The sequence below is a fragment of the Homo sapiens genome, chromosome 2 (assembly GCF_000001405.40).
Source record: "Homo sapiens chromosome 2, GRCh38.p14 Primary Assembly".
NCBI lineage: Eukaryota > Metazoa > Chordata > Mammalia > Primates > Hominidae > Homo > Homo sapiens.
Genome location: NC_000002.12, coordinates 165,747,588 through 165,768,326, shown reverse-complemented (window position 1 = coordinate 165,768,326; position 20,739 = coordinate 165,747,588). Strand labels below are relative to the sequence as shown.

The window sequence follows — 20,739 nt, the reverse complement described above, 5'->3', positions numbered from 1 at the left end:
AGCTTTTTTCTCCCAATATAGCATTAAGAAGCTGCAATAATTTTCAATAATGTTAATCGCTAAGTAAGTGAAAAACAAGTAAGCACATTAACAACATTTTTTGGTTGGAGTGAAGATTTAATTATTTCTTACTTTGGACAGGGTTTTGTACAGGTGGTAAAGATTTGTTTTTTGACTTCGTGATCTGCCCGCCTTGGCCTCCCAAAGTGCTGGGATTAAAGGCATGAGCTACTGTGCCTGGCCTGGCCAACATGGTGAAACCTCATTTCTACTAAAAATACATAAATTAGGTGGGCATGGTGATGTGCGCCTGTAGTCCCAGCTACTTGGGAGGCTGAGGCAGGAGAATCACTTGAACCCGGGAAGCGGAGGTTGCAGTGAGCCGAGATTGCACCATTGCACTCCAGCCTGGTGACAGAGCAAGACTCTGTCTCAAAAAAAAAAAAAAAAAAAAAAAGATTTGTTTTTTACTTTGAATGTAACCAGTATCAGCAAATAACACATTTTCTGAAGAACTGCTAATGTTTTCCATGCTCATTAGAAATATAGACCTAGTTTCTCCCAAAGCCAGATGGTCATGTGACTGATAATTTAAGCATGTTTCTATGTGCCAGGTTTTTCAAATGGTTTGACTGGAATGATACAGTCACTTTGGCAAGTTATTTTAATTGCACTATTTTAAATATGTAAAACAATTTTCAAAGCATACATTTAACATGTTGTTTCAAAATGAATGGGGTTTATGAAATTATATTGTGAAATTTTATTACTTGTATTGATATGACATTTGTACTTGATATTGGTAATTATCAGTTAAGCAAATAAATCCTAGTTTAAACTGACGGAAAATCTTGCAAGATTAAAGTGATAACATTTTACTAGTATGAATTTTTGTGAAATTTTATACTTTAAATCTTCAAAACCATTTTATAATTATCGATTAATACTATATTAATTAACCACATAGCAAATAAAGGTAGGAAAAAAATCTTATACTCAGAATTTCACTTTCTCCTCAAAATGCTTATAACAAATCATAGGTTTCCTCTTTTTTTTTTCTTTAAAAATAAAATACCACAATATGGAATTTTTCATAATTTTTACTTCTAGTTTATGTTGGTTATAAACTTTTATGGGTTCAAAATATAAGCTTATATTTAGTCATTTATTTCTGTGTAGTTGTGGTTCAAGTGTGTATATTAATAGTTTGTGTTTGAGCTTTTTTATTAATTGGTAGTTTATCCAAAATTCAATTTAGAATAAATAATTTGTTTTTATTTATGAATGATGAAGAAGGTGCTTATTTTTTCCGCCCATGCACCTGTATCATGCTTTGAAATCATGAAGAAACTGAAGAGCAATGCCACTTTCACTCAGAATCCATCCTCTCCTTTTTCTAATCTGTTGTTGACATCTTCTCTTGATATTTTACCCCAATCCAACTCCTTTTTTTAATCACTACAAATAATCCATTCTAAAGACTTGCTGTTAAAAAAGGGTATCAGAGACATTCCTATTGAGGTATGACTATGAAAGTAATTAATGGGATAATTTGTGTATCTTTTTTTAGGGCAGTTTTCTCAGGCCCCTAATATCACACTGGAGGCTACAGTTTCCCCATTGGCCCTGGCAGAGGAACTGAAGGGTGATGGGCTTTTATCTCCAATTTATGGTTTTTAAGTGACCTTAAAGATATAGTTGCTTTATTTGCTTATCTTTCCCATAAACCTCACACAGTTTTATTTTATGTCCCAGTGACTTGAAGCCCTCTCCTATATGTTCTTTCATTTAATCCTCACCTCCATTCAGCAGGCTTGGCACTGTGGTTATCTCTACATCTCTAGCCTCAAAGGCTGGAGACTATGCAGACTCTCCTGCACCCCAGTGGCTTAATATGAAGATATTTTTCATTGAGGAAAGACATTCCTATACAAATGAATTTGAGATCAATTTATAAGTAATGTTTTTAACTAATGGATAGTAGTACCACTAATCAGTCAAGGGCACTTAGGGTCTCTCTCCCTGTGCCCAATCAATGTTTTAGATGGTGACATGAGCACAGGACTTTTAACATGGATTTAGGTCTTTATTTAGATCTTTATTTCTACGTATTTTTAAAGGGTTTTTTTAAACGCTAGTCTTATTTGATAGTAGATCAAATTATTGGAGCAAAATCTTTAACACATGGCAAATGGCAGTACTTAATAAGTATTTGCTGAATGATGAACATCATAAAAAGATAGGTTTAGGCTGGACATGATGGCTCACCCCTATAATCCCACCACTATGGGAGGCTTAGGCAGGAAGATTGCTTGAGGTCAGGAGTTCAAGACCAGCCTGGGCAACATCACAGACTGTCTCTATTTTAAATAAAAATAAGAAGAACATAGGTTTTACAATAAAGCTATTTTTTCCCTTTTGATTCTGTGTATAGATTAAGTAAATTGATTCAATAAACCTAGGAAATACTTAAGAAACCTATATTACATACTTAGGTAAATATCTAATTAAAGATAATCTTTATAAAAATGATTTAATATTGTGGGCGCAGTGGCACACGTGTGTAATCCCAGCACTTTGGGAGGCCTAGGCGGGTGGATCACAAGGTCAGGTGATCGAGACCATCCTGGCTAACATGGTAAAACCCCGTCTCTACTAAAAATACCAAAAATTAGCCGGGTGTGGTGGTGGGCGCCTGTAGTCCCAGCTACTCGGGAGCTGAGGCAGGAGAAATGCGTGAACCTGGGAGGTGAAGCTTGCAGTGAGCCGAGATCGTGCCACTGCACTCCAGCCTGGGCGACAGAGAGAGACTCCATAAAAAAAAAAAAATTAATAAAGTGGTACAATTTTTAAAGTTGCAAATATGAAAAATGAATGATTTCTGCATGAAATAAGAAAAATTTGGTTTTTATTTGAGCAATTATAAGGGTTTGTCATTTTTACATGCTGCCTCATTGTAGGTTATTTTCATTATTTAAAATGTTATTTGCATTTAAAATTACATTGTTGAGAAAGCTATAATAACATGTTGTAATCCTTGATATGTTGTCATCTCTGTTGGTAGACATCATCTCTGGGTGAGTGATTTGCTTGTAAAAAAATTGTTTTGATTTATTTACATTTTATATAGCATTGAGATTATATCACATACAAGAAAACTATCCTTTTTCAGTGATAAAGATTCAATAATGATAATGTTAGCAATGGTATAGCTGTGAAATAAAATAATAAAATTTGTAATTGTTTTTCTACTTCTCTGACTTCTTCTAGATGTATTGAACAAAAATTTAAGCGCTGCCCTCCCCTGCCCACCACCAGTGTCATAATAGTTTTTCATAATGAAGCGTGGTCCACGTTGCTTAGAACTGTCCACAGTGTGCTCTATTCTTCACCTGCAATACTGCTGAAGGAAATCATTTTGGTGGATGATGCTAGTGTAGATGGTAAGAAAGCACATGCAAATTAGATTGTTTCCCAAATCCATATTGTGGTATCTACAGTCTACTTGGTTATGTGGTACTCTCTGTATGCCATCTCAGAGCTTGAATATAATAGTTTGGATAGTGGGTATGGTGAATGAAATTAGAATCCAAGGATGGACATATTCAAATATTTTCAAATGCAGAAATGTATGAAACACCATTATTCATAACTATGTAGTCCTCAATGTGAGACTGTTACAGTAAGGCATAGAGGTTAAGAGCACAGACTTGAGCCTTTGAGTCAGGCTGCCTTGATTTGAATCCCAGCTCTTTTCCTAACCAACTATATGACTTGGGCAAGTTACTCAACCTCTCTGCTGTGATTTATCAGCAAAATGGGAATAATGCCATATTTCATTAAATATATTATGTGTTGTTAATTTATAAATCACTAGAGAAAACCCACAGCTAATTAAACTTAACATGCCATTGATTATAAGAAATTGATTATAAGAAGAATCCAATTGTGTAGCTTAAAATTGAGGAAATACAGAACTAGTACATAATTTCTAGAGTTGTTTTAAAGACTGAATGAGTTAATATAAATATCAATAAATAATATAAATGAATAGTTAAAAAGAGTCACCATGTTCTATTTTATTTCGGTGTTCTTAAATATTCCAATATTACTTACAATGTTAGTCAAATTCTTTAGTACATTTCCACTTAAAATTGGAAGTCAAATACTAAATTACACATTTTAAATTGGAATCACAAGGCTAATTTAACAAATACTCTAACTTGTAAATTTTCAAACATCATAAGTATTTTAAATATTGTGTCAAACAGATACATATTATTTCAATGATTACAAAATTTATTCCTTAATAAATCCAAGTTTGGAGTTAGATTCCTGAAGGTCAGATATCTCATTTTATCCTCCCAGCAATGTCTTGTGATGGTGAGTCCGATTATCCTCATCTTAAAGAAACTGAGGCGCAGAAAAGGTAAAATTCCTTGCCCAAGGTCACACAGCTAAAAGTAATTGTGCCATAAAGTGAAATCAGGGCATCTGATTTCATGTAGCTTTCTGTTCTTAACCTCCCAAATAAAGGGTGTGCATGGGAGCTAAATTTAGGGTGCAGATATAAATTTACGGGAAGTTCATATGTTGTGGGTAAGTAAATTTTTTTTTAACAAATTCCAACAGTGAGAGGGTATATTGAAGCAATCTGTAGTAACTCCATTTAAAATAATTCTAACCAAGAATGTTGAAATTTTTACAAGCCTCTTAAAACAGAAAATGTTTATGATTATATATTTAAGATGAGTTACAATTCTGCTTGTCTTTCTGAGAATTATTTCTGAGGTAGTTAGAAGGTGTTAAAAGCTTAATCTGAGAATTATTTTGAGGTAGTTAGAAGGTGTTAAAAAGTTAATCTATTACTCTGAGACAACAGTGTTTAGATAGATTTATTTTTCTACAAGGGTTGTTCCTGCACTTTCCTCTCTTATGAATGTTTAAGCTTTAAATAAGCAGCTCTCTTAACTGAACCACTGGAGAATTGAAAAAAAGGTTATATTATCACAGATAAAGTCAAAGTCATCTGCATTTCCTTCTAAAATCTGGCAGAAGCAAACTTTTGCCCCAGGACATTTATTGATTTTCTTAACATTCCCAAATTTTTTTGAGGCTATGTTTTGGGCCCAAGAAGGCTGCTTGAAGAACTGCATTTTGTACTCAATAAGAAATCAAAAATTTAATTGAGAAAAACAGGCTTAAGAAGTTGTTTCAGAATATGAACAGCTGGGCGCAGTGGCTCAACCTGTAATCCCAGCATTTTGGGAGGCTGAGGCCTGCAAATAGCTTGAGTTCAGGAGTTCCAGACCAGCCTGGGCAACATGATGAAACCCCGTCTCTAAAAAAAAAAAAAAAGAAAAGAAAAGAAAAATTAGCTGGGCCTGTTGGAGCATGCCTGTGGTCCCAGCTACTTGGGAAGCTGAGGAAAACTGCTTGCAGCCCAGAGGCGGAGGTTGCAGTGAGTTGTGCCACTGCACTCCACCCTGGGCGACAGAGCAAGACCTTGTCTCAAAACAAAACCAGACAAAAAAACAACACTGGATTGACATTTGTTAATAACTTTTTTAAAACCTATGATCTCAAATTTTGCTTATTACAAACCTTATCCAATTTGGTATATTGAATATCTTAAAGTATATACCCAATACTAAAATTTGCCTGTTTCATATTTTACTAAATAAAACTGTCAGGAGACTCCAAAGCTTTCGCAAATTTTTCTGCTGACTCTGTGTAGGAATCGTCCCAAACTGCTATAGCTGTGGACTTTCTGACGTGGCTCAACATTTTGGTGTTAAATTATTTTGATCCTTGCTTAAATATCAGAGGTCTTTAGATATTTGACATTTTTCTTTAAGATTTCCAGATTTAAATACCAATTTCAAAGCATTGAATATCTTTTTGGCCAAATTCCATATCTTTCACTCTTGTAGTCAGTCTTCTCAGACCTCTAAATGAGTCTTTTGAACGGCTAGGGTTGACTCCATTTGAAGTTTCTCACTTCCCTCCAAACACATTATATTTATTGATAGGAAGTGTACAGAATAAGTATGCATTACAGTGTTTTGTGTTACAGTAGTGATAATTTGCATAGCTAGCCTTTTTCCCCAGTAAGGAGTTAAAGATAAAATTTTCATTTTGCTGGAAGGACACATGCAACTGTTAAGATTATGAATTTGGAAGGATCATTGCTCTGTGGTTTCATTAGCTTTCATAAGCTATATATGAAAATGCATTTAGAAAGAATTAACCCTGATTTTTTTTCCTTACAGAGTACTTACATGATAAACTAGATGAATATGTAAAACAATTTTCTATAGTAAAAATAGTCAGACAAAGAGAAAGAAAAGGTCTGATCACTGCTCGGTTGCTAGGAGCAACAGTCGCAACAGCTGAAACGCTCACATTTTTAGATGCTCACTGTAAGTATATATGTATGGATATGGTTGTAACATTTTCCCTCCCTCTCCCTCTAATTTAAAAGGTAAGGAAGTCTTTTCTTTTCTAAATGCCTAATTGCATTTTCTTTAACAGCGTTTTCAACTGGCGATTATAGCAATGACAGCCCAAGCAGGTAACAGCTCTGTGGAGAAAATTCCTTTCACTTATGCAGAATTCTTATCTCCTTTTGTGTTTAAGTTTCCTCAACTTCAGTGTTCTCCAGTTACTAGCTGTTCCAGCCAGTTATCCTTGCCTCTTTTTTTTTTTTCCATGTTTCTTTTCTGTTAAAAAAAAAAGTGTTTGTTTGTTTGTTTGTTTGTTTTCTTGATTCCCACACTTTAAAGTGAATGAAAGCTTATTTACTATTTAAATGTAGCCGGGCGTGGTGGCTCATTCCTGTAATCCCAGCACTTTGGGAGGCCGGCGTTGGTGAATCATTTGAGGTCAGGAGTTCAAGATCAGCCTGGCCAACAAGGTGAAACCCTGTCTCTACTAAAAATACAAAAATTAGCCAGGCATGGTGACATGTGCCTATAATTCCAGCTACTAGGGAGACTGAGGAATGGGAATCGCTTGAACCTGGGAGGCAGAGGTTGCAGTGAGCTGAGATTGTGCCACTGCACTCTAGCCTGGGCAGCAGAGTGACACTCCGTTTCAAAATGAATGAATGAATGAATGAGTGAGTGAATATAATCCACCCTATCATTAAACTTCGTCCTAGTACTGCTGCTTTTTTTATATTTTAGTTTGTGTGTGTGTTTTTTTTTTTAAATTTGCAGACTCCTTGGCATAAAAAGGAGTCTGCGAATTTTCAATAAAAACCACAAAACCAAAATATGTTTATATATATACTTTTTATGCCAGGTTAGGGGTGCCCCATCCCATCTTCTTTGGTATCCCTTACATAAACATTGTCAATTTTTGTTTGACTTTGCTGCTGTTGGTTTTTCTTTGTACTTTAATTATTTTCAGAGTCAAAGTTTTTGAAGTATTTAGAAAGCATTTTTAGAGTCAATGTGTCATATGCATGCTAGTTATTACTAAACTGTCATTTTGTCCCTTGAGCTCTGAGTTTAGTGGGCTATACTTTGTATGAGTGTCTAGCTTTGAATTGGCCAGTGCTTAGGTTATGTTTCACCCAATTACTAGTTTTGAGCACACACCGATTATTACAGAAGGGCTTTTGGATGTGCTTGTGTTGCTTAGAGCCATCACATTCAGTTCTCTTTTAATACCAGACATTTAGAAAATGAAGAGAACACTAAAGGTAATGCTAGAGAGGTGCTTTAAAAAGGAAAATACCATCCTCTGGTATTTCTTCTCGTTGTTCAAAATTACAATAAGATCATACTGGACATTCTTACCCACTACCCACTGGGTGGATATGTCTGACGGTCCTCCCGGACCATGACTGCCAAATACTGCTTTGTGGGGAGCCCAGAATAGGACAGCACATGCATTGGCTGAACTTGCTGTGTGTTACATAAAACAGCCTGGCCTGTGACCAGGGCTTAGACCTATCATGACATGAAACTCCTTGGCCCTCCCTTTATATTAGGTCTGGGGCAGCTTTGAATGGTCCTTCTTCTCCAGTTGCTAAAATCGGAATTTATACTGACTCCTTATTTTCTCCTAAGACCCAGTCAGATAAATGAAAATTTCAATTACTGTACCTTATTCAGGGAGATACGAGTTTAAATAAATCAGAACACTTTTAGGGCCAGGTAATGTGGAACAGCAAAAAGCTACCTTTGACTCATAGGCCATTTTAACACATCATCTAAACTTTAAATACACTGGTGTTATTTTGCATCTTTTGTAGAAGAAAGAAGGTCATCATCTGTAGGGGAATTTTTCTAACTGTAGTGAATCTTTTTTCACCTTTTTCATCCTACCCTCATCTCATCACAATAAACCTTTAAAAAATCTCCCCTTCTGGAGATCTATTGTACAACGTGGTGACTGTAATTAATAATAATATATTGTCTACTCAAAAATTGCTAAGAGTAGATCTTAGATGTTCTTACCACCCGCTCCATAAGCCGATAAGGTGATGGATATGTTAATTAGCTTGATTGCAATAATCATTTTACAATGTATACATATATAAACACTATGATATACACTGCAAATGTATAGAATTTTTATTTGTTATATCTCAATAAATCTGAGGAAGAAAGAAATCTCCATTATATACATGTTCAAAACACAAATTGACTCTGTTATTCTCATTTCTCTGTAAACCTTCACCTAAATAACTAAAGAAAAAAACTTCAATGTTTTTATTGAATTAATTAAAATTCTGTTCCCTCCAGGTGAGTGTTTCTATGGTTGGCTAGAACCTCTGTTGGCCAGAATAGCTGAGAACTACACGGCTGTCGTAAGTCCAGATATTGCATCCATAGATCTGAACACGTTTGAATTCAACAAACCTTCTCCTTATGGAAGTAACCATAACCGTGGAAATTTTGACTGGAGTCTTTCATTTGGCTGGGAGTCGCTTCCTGATCATGAGAAGCAAAGAAGGAAAGATGAAACCTACCCAATTAAGTAAGATGATTGCTCTCAGAGTCTTATATTTACACCCTATACCATACATTGAATATGTACACACTGTTTGCTTTATAGCAATTGCCTCTGAGGTAATTGATAAAGAACACACATATTCTATATAAAGAGAATCTAAAAGTCATTCATTTGTGTACTTGCTTATACATGATGTTGCTGAGTAAGAGGTAGCAGTGAGTGAGCTCTTATGTCTTCCTCATCAATCATTACTTAAAAATCGTAAAGCATGGTTAGGAGAAGACATTTAAGTTTACTCCAATGGGAGAGGACACGAAGTACTCCCCCCGACCCCAAAAATCTTGACTTTGAAGATAGCATTTCTAGTTTTTATTAATCTGAATAAAAGCTTTGAAAATGTGATATGGCTTTAATTTTTTAACTTCAGTTCTTAAAATATGCTGTTTTATCTTGTTTAGTTTTTATAACAAAATTTGACAATGGATTATTTTTCAGAACACCCACTTTTGCAGGAGGACTTTTTTCCATATCAAAAGAATATTTTGAGTATATTGGAAGCTATGATGAAGAAATGGAAATCTGGGGAGGTGAAAATATAGAAATGTCTTTCAGAGTAAGTTTATGGAAATTAAATATAGCAGATATATTAAACAATGAAATATATTGTGTTCTAATCGGCTGGTACATATGATTACAGATGTGTGCACTCTACTTTTTGTGCTTTCTGAAACTTAATTGCTGGAAATTTTGGAATAAGAATATTTTCTTTTAATATGTAACTTAATATATTTATTCATTGTCGCCAGTGTAACAAGAGGAATCAGTTAAACTCCTGTGTCCAGGCAGTAACACCAATTAATGCACTTGTAGCTACTGAATTCCAGCCAAGATAAATATAATTAAATCTAGTGCTTCAGGAAATGAGTTGATCATCAAGGGAGTTAGAATGGAAAAACATTTATGAATAATTTTAAAGGACATTGGACTTAACTGTTTGGAATGAATGAGCTTGATTTTTTCTATACATATTATAAGTTAATATAAAAAAAGGCTTTGGGTAGACTCCGTATGTACCTTATGTATTTGATTTCATGAGTTTCATTTTCTGCAGTAACTTTATCATTCATTTTTCATCTCTTAGGCTGGAATGTAGTGGAAAAAGAACTGAACTAGGAGTTAGAAGATTTAAGTTTTGGCTCTGGCTCCATCACATACTGGCAGTGATGATCTTAGCCAAGTTTGAACTGCTTATGGCGGGGTCTTGTTTATTCATTTCAGTATTTCCAACCCCTAGCACGTGTTGGGTCACAAGCACAGTTTGTTGAATTGAACATATCACTGAGTCTTCTCATTTGTTCAAGAAAGAAAGGAGAGAAAGAGATTTGTAATCACTTGCTCTACTACAAGCACATAGTATTAAATATGACTTATTTTCTGATTCTTTGCTTGGTAACTATGGCAGAGTCAATTATTAAGATATTTAAGTGAAAAGGCATTGATTTCATGATTTGCCATTTTATTTAGCATTAATGCCAATAAGGATTTTTTTTGACGTTTTCTCTCTAAATTGGCATGAATTTTTAAATAATCATCCTCTACTTTGCAAGTTCAGTAGAATGATCATTGGTAATAATAGCCATCTGGAATTGTTTTCTTGGTTACAAAATTGAATATACAAGAGATAAATAGGGTCTGAGTCCACTTATATCCAAACTTTGAAGAGAAACTCTAGTTTAAGTGAAGTGACTATGTCAGTAGTTCAGACAGAAGTCAAATGCATAAGAGCCTTTAGTTTTCTGTGCATATTAGAGAACTTACATAATTATTTGCAAAAACAAAAGCCTGGAATTCATTTTTATGAAAAATCTGAAATCACCATTTTGTTAACTTACTGAAAATGCACTTCTGTTGTCTTTAGTGTCTATGCCATTTAATAAAATAATTCCTTACACTTAAGAACTTAAGTTGAAATGGCAGGGGACAGAGACTATTTGTAATATTGTAATCTCTTCTCTAATTTTGTTTTTCATAATACCTTAAAGGTGAACTTAAAAGCAACACTTTGATTTTTCTAAAATACTGTAAATTTAAACAAATATCATTAATTATCAGGTATGGCAATGTGGTGGGCAGTTGGAGATTATGCCTTGCTCTGTTGTTGGACATGTTTTTCGCAGCAAAAGCCCTCATAGCTTTCCAAAAGGCACTCAGGTGATTGCTAGAAACCAAGTTCGCCTTGCAGAAGTCTGGATGGATGAATACAAGGAAATATTTTATAGGAGAAATACAGATGCAGCAAAAATTGTTAAACAAGTAAGTTAAAGCTAAGTAGTTAAATTGCAATAAAATCTATAACAAGTTCACACGTCCTTTTGCGTCGATTCATCTCAAGTACAAAACATCAAAAAATTTGAAAGTAGGTTTTTAACTCTTAAAGTACATGACTTATGAATCCAAGTTTCCTTTTTTAAGAAAAAAACTAAGTAAACTGCTTTTTAAAAATCAGGAATTCTACTTGATGTTTTTAATATGAAAGATAGTTCATTTTTGTTGCTGCCCTGGTTCAATATTTTACTCGAAGAAAATTAAGTAGAACTGTTTTTACTGGTTTTAGGAGATATAACACCTAAATAAAGGTTCTAAGTGACTTTTTGCACTGGAGATAGAGACAGTGTCTTAATGTGGCATGAGAATAAACCAGGAGTGCCAAGCCTTTTTTTTTCAAGCTCTAGTTTCACTACTTACTGGAGATGTTACTTTGGCAAAGCCTTTGAGAATGTAAAATAGGGAAGACACTTCATAGAGTGGCTGCAAGGTGGCTGGACATGGAGTGCATGCTTAACATATTTCTTTTCTCTCCTTCCCTGTTTTAAGAGATGAAATACGCATGCTGTCTCTCTCCCAGAGTAGCTGTGAAATAAGAAAGTGATAAGTGCTAACAAATATATGGTACTCTTGTTATTAACCTGCCATAAATAGATTCTGCTCTGCAGAATCATGAAACCTAATATATTAGAAGTGAGTTCCAATAGTCTTAATAATATTAGATAAGGTAAATTAACTAGATAGTTTAAGACCATGCTTCAGTGTATAGTACTCATCTCTTTGTAGGAAATAGATAGTGCTAATTTGCAGGGTGAGGGAAGGTGGAGTATTTATTGGGAGTCAAGGGTATCAATATTTTGGCTGTTGCGGTGAAGAACGATTTGGTTACCTCTTTCCCTTTTTCTCTGGTCTCCAGTATCTCCCTGTTAGGATGCAAATTAAGAGCACTACTGAGTTAGATTGCTATCTTTTTACCCAAGGCCATGAAGACAAATTGGGCAGATTGTGTACTGTACAATAGTACTTGGCTAAGCAGGCAAGTGGGCACTAAATGAAGCTTATGCTCTGCTTGTCCCCCACAAAGGGGCACATAAATCAGCAAATACCTGTTGGTTACCACAGGACACATAGATCTACATGGTAAATGTAATAAGCTAGCCAGAAGTCCTAAAGACTCATACTTTTTGCTAAAACGCCTGGGTTCAAGACATCAAAGTTGGCATAAGAAAATATTTTCTTTAGTTGAACTGATAAGATTGAGTATTTACTTTTGCATACATTTAGATATTACATGTACTTTTTCTCTAATATTTTGCCTGTAGGTCAAATACCTTGAAGTTTAATAATGGTTTTTTAAAAAAGTTATTTTCTTAGTACGTTAAAATGAAGGAAAGCAAAATTCATTTAACTTGAAAATTGCCTTTTTCTACTAAAGGTTCAGTTGGGGATATTGTTAAGAACAAGCAACATCCTGAAACTAGAAAAATTACTCCCAGTGGGTTATTTCTTGCTGGTGGTTTTCTGTGATCTTGATGGAGAAGAGATAGAAGTTGCATTGTGTATTGGCACTGTTTGTCTATACCTGATTTCTGACACCTCACTTTGCAGATCATTTTTAGGTATAAAGTTGGGACCAATTTTGGATGCTCCTACCACCATTCCTTTGCCCACAGCATTTTACTAGAAATCTTTGTCTTGTAGGGAATGTTTGTGGCACAAATGAAGAATAAAATAGCATCATTTTAGTATTTTAATCAGCACTGAAGTGGTGTTGACTCTCTTTTAAAGCCAGAAATGAACAGGCAGGCATGGTTTTTACTTGAATGAATGATGAAGGCTGTTGAATTGCCTCTTGAATTTTTAGCATGGATTTTTAAAAATACCTAAATAGAAATACAAATAAGAGTATTTTAAGTGCTTTATCAATGTTGTTTTAATTAAGCATTCCCTTCATTTCTCATGTTTCTACAGAAAGCATTTGGTGATCTTTCAAAAAGATTTGAAATAAAACACCGCCTTCAGTGTAAAAATTTTACATGGTATCTGAACAACATTTATCCAGAGGTGTATGTGCCAGACCTTAATCCTGTTATATCTGGATACGTGAGTATTTTCCTGTTCCTTTTTTAATTAATATACTCCTTGCCACCAACCTTTATGTGGTTCTAAGAAAATTGCTGAAATACTTTCTTTATTGCTTTTGAGATTTTACATTATAATCATTAACATTACTTTCTAAATTATTTTAAAAATATATAAATCACATGGATTAAAAAACTTTTCATAACTTGAAAATTTTCCTTTAGATTAAAAGCGTTGGTCAGCCTCTATGTCTGGATGTTGGAGAAAACAATCAAGGAGGCAAACCATTAATTATGTATACATGTCATGGACTTGGGGGAAACCAGGTGAGCACTGCATTAAAAATCCTTCACTTGTAAAGCATTTACAAGCACAAGTGAGATGTTGCCTATTTTTCAGAAGTCCCACAGCAGCTTTATACTTGGGTAAGCTGTGTGTGAAATGTTTTCAGACTGAGTTTGGCAATTGATATTGATGAGTATTTTTTTTTGGTTTTTACTCTGGCTCTGAAAACAATTTGAGTAGCTTAACCATTAAAAAAAAAAAAAAAAAAAAAAAAAGGAGGCCGAGCTGAGTGGCTCACGCCTGTAATCCCAGCACTTTGGGAGGCTGAGGTGGGTGGATCACTTGAGGCCGGGAGTTCAAGGCCAGCCTGGCGAATATGGTGAAACCTCATCTCTACTAAAAATACAAAAATTTGTCGGGCGTGGTGGTGCATGCCTGTGTTCCCAGCTACTTGGGAGGCTGAGGCTGGAGAATTGCTTGAACCACGGAGGTGGAGGTTGCAGTGAGCCGAGATCACACAATTGCGGTCCAGCCTGGGTGACAGAGTGAGACTCTGTCTCAAAAACAAACAAACAAATTAAAAAAAAAAAAAGGAAAATGAGAAAATAATAGAATAATGCCATTTGAAATTTTTTTTAAAAAGAAACTTCTATGTAGCTCTTTGATGCTTTAACTTTTGCATGACTATTGGCATGGTGATTTTGCAAGTTTACACATAAAGGCCACATATAACTGGATTGAATCACAAATTACATCAAGTGTTAATAACAAAATAGAGCATTATAAATTAATTTTGTGGGCCACAATATTATTTCAATATGTTCCTCCTTCTCCAACAAAAGAGGAAGATTCTCCTTGATTAGTGACATACCTGCTTTACTACCTTTTGACTATTTTACTGATTAAGATTCACATGTCAAATATTACTATTTACTTGCCTATGGGTAGAGAACATGTTATATACAAAGTTTCTGTTTTTTTAAGCTTCCTTTCCTTACCTTTTGCAGCTTAACTCCTGGAAAGATTAGACTATTTCCCTCATTTGTTCATTCAACAAATTCATTGAGTGAGCCCTGCATGCCAGATACTCTGATGAGTTCAAGCTATTTAGACTCTAACTCCTTTAGGAAATCTATAAACTAGCAGTTCCTTAGGATAAAGCATTCAGAGTGTTCTGGGGGTATAGAAAAGGGCATTGAATGAGACTGGGTGTCCACACATTTTCCTGAGAAAGATGATATTTGAAAACATTAAAAAAAAAAAAAGTAGGTAGGAGCTAGTGAGGTGGCTGTGGGGAATGGCAACAGAATAAGAAGAGTGTGAAGGAAAGTGAAATGAAGAGAAGAGCCTGGAGTATCTCTTCTGGGCATTGCAGGTATTTTGGTGTAGAGTCCAAGATGTGTGTGGAGGATTTTTGCAATAATTAATATCCATGATGTCCTATTTTAATGGGACGAAACTTTGAGATGTCAGTTTTAGGAAAAAAGAGCCAGTTTATCTCCTGGTCCATCCTCTTCTATATTTCTTCCTACCCATTAGGCTCAGCTTAATCTAGTTCTAATCCTTATTAACCTAAACCAATCAATCTACTGAGGGCAGATGATACAGATGCCCAGAAGCCAGAGCTGGTGAACTGGATCTATTGCTGGATGGTTAAGGTGTAATTCTGAAATAGGATGGAGATATATATGGATGCATATAGACAGACATACATCTATACCTATATCTATATACATATATATCTGTACATATATGTGTATGTGCATAAATCTATATGCATCTTTTTAAGAATTTTCTTACCCTCCATATATTAGAAGAAAAATAGTTACATAAATAATTGCATTCTTTGGAAATAACACTGATCTATGCTTGTAAAAATTAAGATTTTGAGCAAAGGGAAATATTTCTGCATTTGTTAAAATCTTACTAGTAAATGTAAATCCCTATAAATTTCTCTTAGGCTTCTTCTAGCATTACATTTATTTTATCTTAAAAGCTGAAGATATATTGTACACATTGCTTTTTTCCATTTTTCTGTTATCATTTTCATAAAGATAATAACAGCTTTATGATAGCTCTGTATCAAAAATATGTTTACATTTTAAATAGAATATAGCTATCTTTTAGAAATTGGGGGATGGGAAAACATTCACATATTCTTTCAATAAGTGTTTGTTTAGAACCTATAAAGTAGCTTGTACTGACTGTTACCGTAGTAAAAAGACAAAGCTCCTGATCTTGTGGAGCTTATGTTCCACAGGAACAAAGAAAAAAATATGTAGTTTTGGGCATGAAGAAAAATATAGCAGGTAAGGGAATAGTGTGTTTCGGGGTAGGGTGGTTATTTTAAGAGGTGAGGGAAGACCTTTTTGGAAAAGCGATCTTAGAGGGAGGCCTGAATACTGTGAGAGAGTGTTCCAGGAGAAGATGCTCATCTTGGAGGAAGGATTTCCAAGAGTGGAGGCCCAGAGGCAGATACATGGAGAAAGCAGATAGCCAGTGTACCTAGAGCAGAGTGGTCTAGCAAAGAGGACTAGGAAATGAGGTCGGGGCATTGATAGGGACCTGATCATGTAGGGCTTAACTGGCCCCATTAAGAAACTTGGACTTAATTCTGACTTTGACAGAAACAATTGAAGAGTTTTGAGCAGAAGAATAAATATTATCTGGTGTATATACTAAATAGAAACTTCAGCTTTTGTTACCCTAACACAGCTATTGATTTTATTTTGCTTTATTTCCTTGACATTTTATTTTTAATCAAGCATTGCACTTAAACCGTTTTGCAAATTTTAGTTCCCTGAGTGCTAAAATTTTTAGATATTATATAACTTGATCATTTTTTCATGTTTCCTTCTACTTTTGATCAGATAATATTTTTATAGCATAAAACTTCATGTATGCCAAATAAAAATAAATATTTTGGTTATGTGACTAAGCTGGCCAATATTACTAGTGTAATGCAGTTTGAGTCATTATAACTTGATTATATTTACTGCTTTGCCTCTTCTCTACTCGTTCTAAGTAATGGGTCTCTCCAACATTCACAGTTATCCAATTATGTGCTCTTTTTTGTTACCAAAGTACTTTCAATATTTTCCATTTTTTGTAATTTTTATTTTAATGACTTTTTAATAATGGGTAAAATACTCGACAGCCTTTGTTACCATTTTTGAGATCTTAAGGCTTATCTTTCTTAGCCAAGTATAGCTAGAATGCTATTTTCATCATCTAAACTCAGTTTCTTCCTGTGTTTCCATCTGAAGAACTACTAGTTCTAAAAATGACTGATGTTTTGCTTGTGGGCGGAGATAAATTAAGCATGAGACTAAGAGTAGGGAAACTCAAGATATATGGCTCTGTGAATTCAGCGAATGTTTGTAGAGTGCCTACTGTAATACACATAAAGAGTTTAACACAGTGCCTGCCTAACATGTAATAAGGACTTAACAAATATTAGTGCTCCTACTAATTATTTCATTATTGAAAATCAATTATGTTAACTTATTTTATCTTTATAATGTCAATATTATGAAATATTGGATTTGTGATGGGTGTTATGACTCGATAAATTGCCTGACTTCAGTCTATGGGGAAGCCAGGTCTACACACCACACACAATTCTAATAGAGTGCTAGAAAAGTTATCTCTGATGTACTATGGGAACCTTGAAAAGATTGTAATTTTGTGCAGCAGGGCAAATTCAGGCAAAGCCAAAGAAGGAAGGTAGTATTTGAGTTGGCTCTTGAAGGATTAAAAAGGAGTTAGCCAGGCAGAAAAGGGTCAAAAGTGTATTCCAGGCAGAGGACAGACTGTAAAGCAAAGTCTTAGAGTTATAGATACATATGTTCTGATTGGTAGAATTGTGTGAAAGAAGCATAATATATAACTGGGGCAATGATTGATGCAAGATCAAAAAGAAAGATTTCATGTACCAATTAAGGAGTGTGGACTTTATCTTAGCAACAGTAGTGATTCACTTAAGCAAGGGCAGTCAGGGATCAAACCAATGCTTTAAAAGACTATCTGGCAGCAGATTGGATTGCTGGATGATAGGAACAGAAATTGGAAGTAGCTGTAGGTGTTTCAGTAAAAATTCTGAGAGTCTGAGTAACAGAAGTGAGTACACGGAAGTGAGAATGGATGGGATGTTAACATCTGAGAGGAATAGTGCAGCTAAGGGACGAATTACTTGGATATGTGGAGAAAGAGAAGCATCAGTAGTAACAATAGCTAAAATGTATGAAAACTCACCGTGTGCCAGTCATTGTTCTAAATGTATTATGCGTATTAACCCACTTATCTTCATAACCCTGTGGGGTAGGAACTATTAAATTACCCATTTTCTAGTGAGAAAACTGAGGCATGGTGAACACCCTGAAGTCCCTAGTTTAGTGAAAACACCTTTGATTGAGATGAAGAAGAGAGATGGAACACTTGTGGGAGAGAGGCAATTAATGTTCTTGTTATAACTCTTCATTCCCTTTTCTGAGGAATGCCTGGGATAGCCTCCACTCTCCTTGATAACTTCCAACTTCTGGTATGGGGAGGAAGACAGCACCTTGTTAATGAAGTAACCACCTGTTGATGAAGGAAGGCTATTGTATCGTCTATCACAAAAACTCAGCTTATGTTTCTAATAACTATTTTTATTGTATTATTTTGTTGAAATAGAAATGACTTTATTATTTAACGAGTTGCTGATTTATTTATTTATTTTGCAACTGAGCACATGGGTTGCTTTTGTCAGTAACAGTGCTATTCCTTCCATAGTACTTTGAATACTCTGCTCAACATGAAATTCGGCACAACATCCAGAAGGAATTATGTCTTCATGCTGCTCAAGGTCTCGTTCAGCTGAAGGCATGTACCTACAAAGGTCACAAGACAGTTGTCACTGGAGAGCAGATATGGGAGATCCAGAAGGTACCTCAGTGCAATTAATTCATCTATTTAACTATTTTTCTTAGCTCTACTTGCTTATCTGGGAAAATGAGTGGAACATGGTACATTAATATTATCTATCAGAATTTCTCTCCCTTTATTAACTTTGTTATTATGTGTTTCTACCCATGTGATAAGAGAATATATCTATGAATTAAGTACTCTTAGTAACAAAAAATTAAGTTGCTTGGTTGAACCGTGATATATGCAGATGAGCACTTCTGTGAATTATTAATATTAGTCGCTTGTTTTTTACTATTTAGGGTTTCTTATAATGCTTTTAGCAACAGTCATATTTTTTTTCTGTCAGAGAGAAGAAAAATTATTATATCTTCTCACTTGAAGTGATTAATTTTTTTCTACCCTGTTTTAGCACTTTTTCACAAACCTAGAATTGAGAGAATACATAACAGGTCTCTTCTGTTTTTAAACATGTTTAAGGCTTAGCTGTATCATAGCAATTCTTACCTGAACATTGTTTTGTGCAGTACTAGAAAACGTTAACACTGGCTTTTATAATTTATGATGTTTTTAAGAGTTTGTCACTTATGGATATATCAAGGGAATACTTCTTGTTTGAAAATGTGATTCAAACCTTGTTCTGTCTGCCTCTCTTCATTATGTAATATCTTACTAATTGAAGAGTAGTAGCTTAAAAGGTGGCATTTACACTAGAAGCCAAAAAGAGTTTATCAGACATGGCTCACCTTAGAAAGATTTGCTATTAGGTTTGCTTCAATGAAACCATAAAATCTTTTTCATATTTGTCACTTAACTATGAGTCTTGGAATTTAATGTCTGTTGTTTCCTTTTATTCTAGGATCAACTTCTATACAATCCATTCTTAAAAATGTGCCTTTCAGCAAATGGAGAGCATCCAAGTTTAGTGTCATGCAACCCATCAGATCCACTCCAAAAATGGATACTTAGCCAAAATGATTAAGTGTTCCTTAAAATTAAGTTGAAAAAGGAAATATTCTTTCTCATAAAACTGTGACTAGGCATACACTGTAGTTTTTGAAAATTATGCAAAAGCAGCTAAATGTAACTTATTCCAAGTGCATTTTTCTTATTTATATCTTTATGTAGCACTACTACAGAAATTCTGCAAGTTTCTGTTTCAAAGCACAATAACTAGTAATACCAAAGACTATTTCAAAATGTCCAGATGTAGGGGAAGAGATGTTTACAGTATGATGAAAATAATTTTCCAAGTAAAGTGATGTTTGTGTGTTTTGTACACTTAGGGATATATATATATAGCTACATTCACACACTCACAATTTAAAATATTTCCCCTAGTTTTTTGGGGGGATAGGAAGAAAGATTTGTTACTGTATTTTTTTAACTACATAAAAATAGATCAATAAATGTCAGCATTGGCCTCTGTGTACAAACCAAGAGCTTTTACAGATCCAGAATTTATTAGTTTAAAATGCAGGTGAACTTTTTTTTGCGTTTGGTTTACTTGTCTGTCAAATGTTTCCTTAAACATGAAACTGAATAAGGAGAAGAGTATTTTTAACACTTAAATTTCTTGGCAAATTTTAAAACATTTTTTAGTCTGTAATACACTCCACTTGAAGCACTTAAGTCTTCCTTAAATGACTTTTCTTAAGTAATGATACTGTGTGTTTTCCCAAAGCACTTTTAAAAAAATTTTTATAAATTACTATCTGTTGAAAAGGTGTCCTTTTCCTTTCTTCTAGTATTTTTTTCTTACCAAAATTCACTAATCTTGAATGTTTGTGATATTAAATTTCAAATGCAGAATACTTGACTCATTTAAAGCTAAATTTTGTTACTGATTCAATTATAATTGTAATGGATTTTTGACTTTGTAATGGATTCTTTTCATCAAAAAGCCTTATTTTTTTATCTATGTGGAAAACACAATAAAAAATCCTCAACACTATTGTAATCATTTGGTTAAGTTTTTTTCCTCTTTTGGGTAAAATCTGTAATTGATAATAGGTGGGGGAAAATGAATTTTGTATGCTGAATTTCTAAGCGCCTATTGTTTGTAAAACCATCAGATATTTCTTATGGCACAAAAAATGAGGAATAGCAAAATTCCTGTGTTCAATATTTAGAAAATTTTGTATTAATTTCTGATAAAGTTCCTTAAGCATCTGA

The 20,739-nt window shown here is 34.4% G+C and overlaps 1 protein-coding gene across 5 annotated transcripts in view; it reads left to right on the top strand.

Moving 5' to 3' along the window:
- Positions 1 to 20,739, top strand: part of GALNT3 (polypeptide N-acetylgalactosaminyltransferase 3) — a 47,105-nt gene extending 26,366 nt beyond the window's left edge. For 4 of the 5 annotated variants that reach the window (XM_011510929.2, XM_017003770.2, NM_004482.4 and 1 more), the window contains exons 3-11: positions 3,271 to 3,443; positions 6,273 to 6,422; positions 8,757 to 8,991; positions 9,463 to 9,580; positions 11,080 to 11,280; positions 13,264 to 13,395; positions 13,599 to 13,700; positions 18,433 to 18,585; positions 19,424 to 20,739. In XM_011510929.2, the coding sequence (XP_011509231.1) occupies positions 3,271 to 3,443; positions 6,273 to 6,422; positions 8,757 to 8,991; positions 9,463 to 9,580; positions 11,080 to 11,280; positions 13,264 to 13,395; positions 13,599 to 13,700; positions 18,433 to 18,585; positions 19,424 to 19,546 (1,387 nt within the window). In that variant the 3' untranslated portion in view covers positions 19,547 to 20,739. Of the gene's footprint in view, positions 1 to 3,270; positions 3,444 to 6,272; positions 6,423 to 8,756; positions 8,992 to 9,462; positions 9,581 to 11,079; positions 11,281 to 13,263; positions 13,396 to 13,598; positions 13,701 to 18,432; positions 18,586 to 19,423 lie in introns of those variants that run through there. The other variant, XM_047443883.1, reaches the window with a different exon arrangement.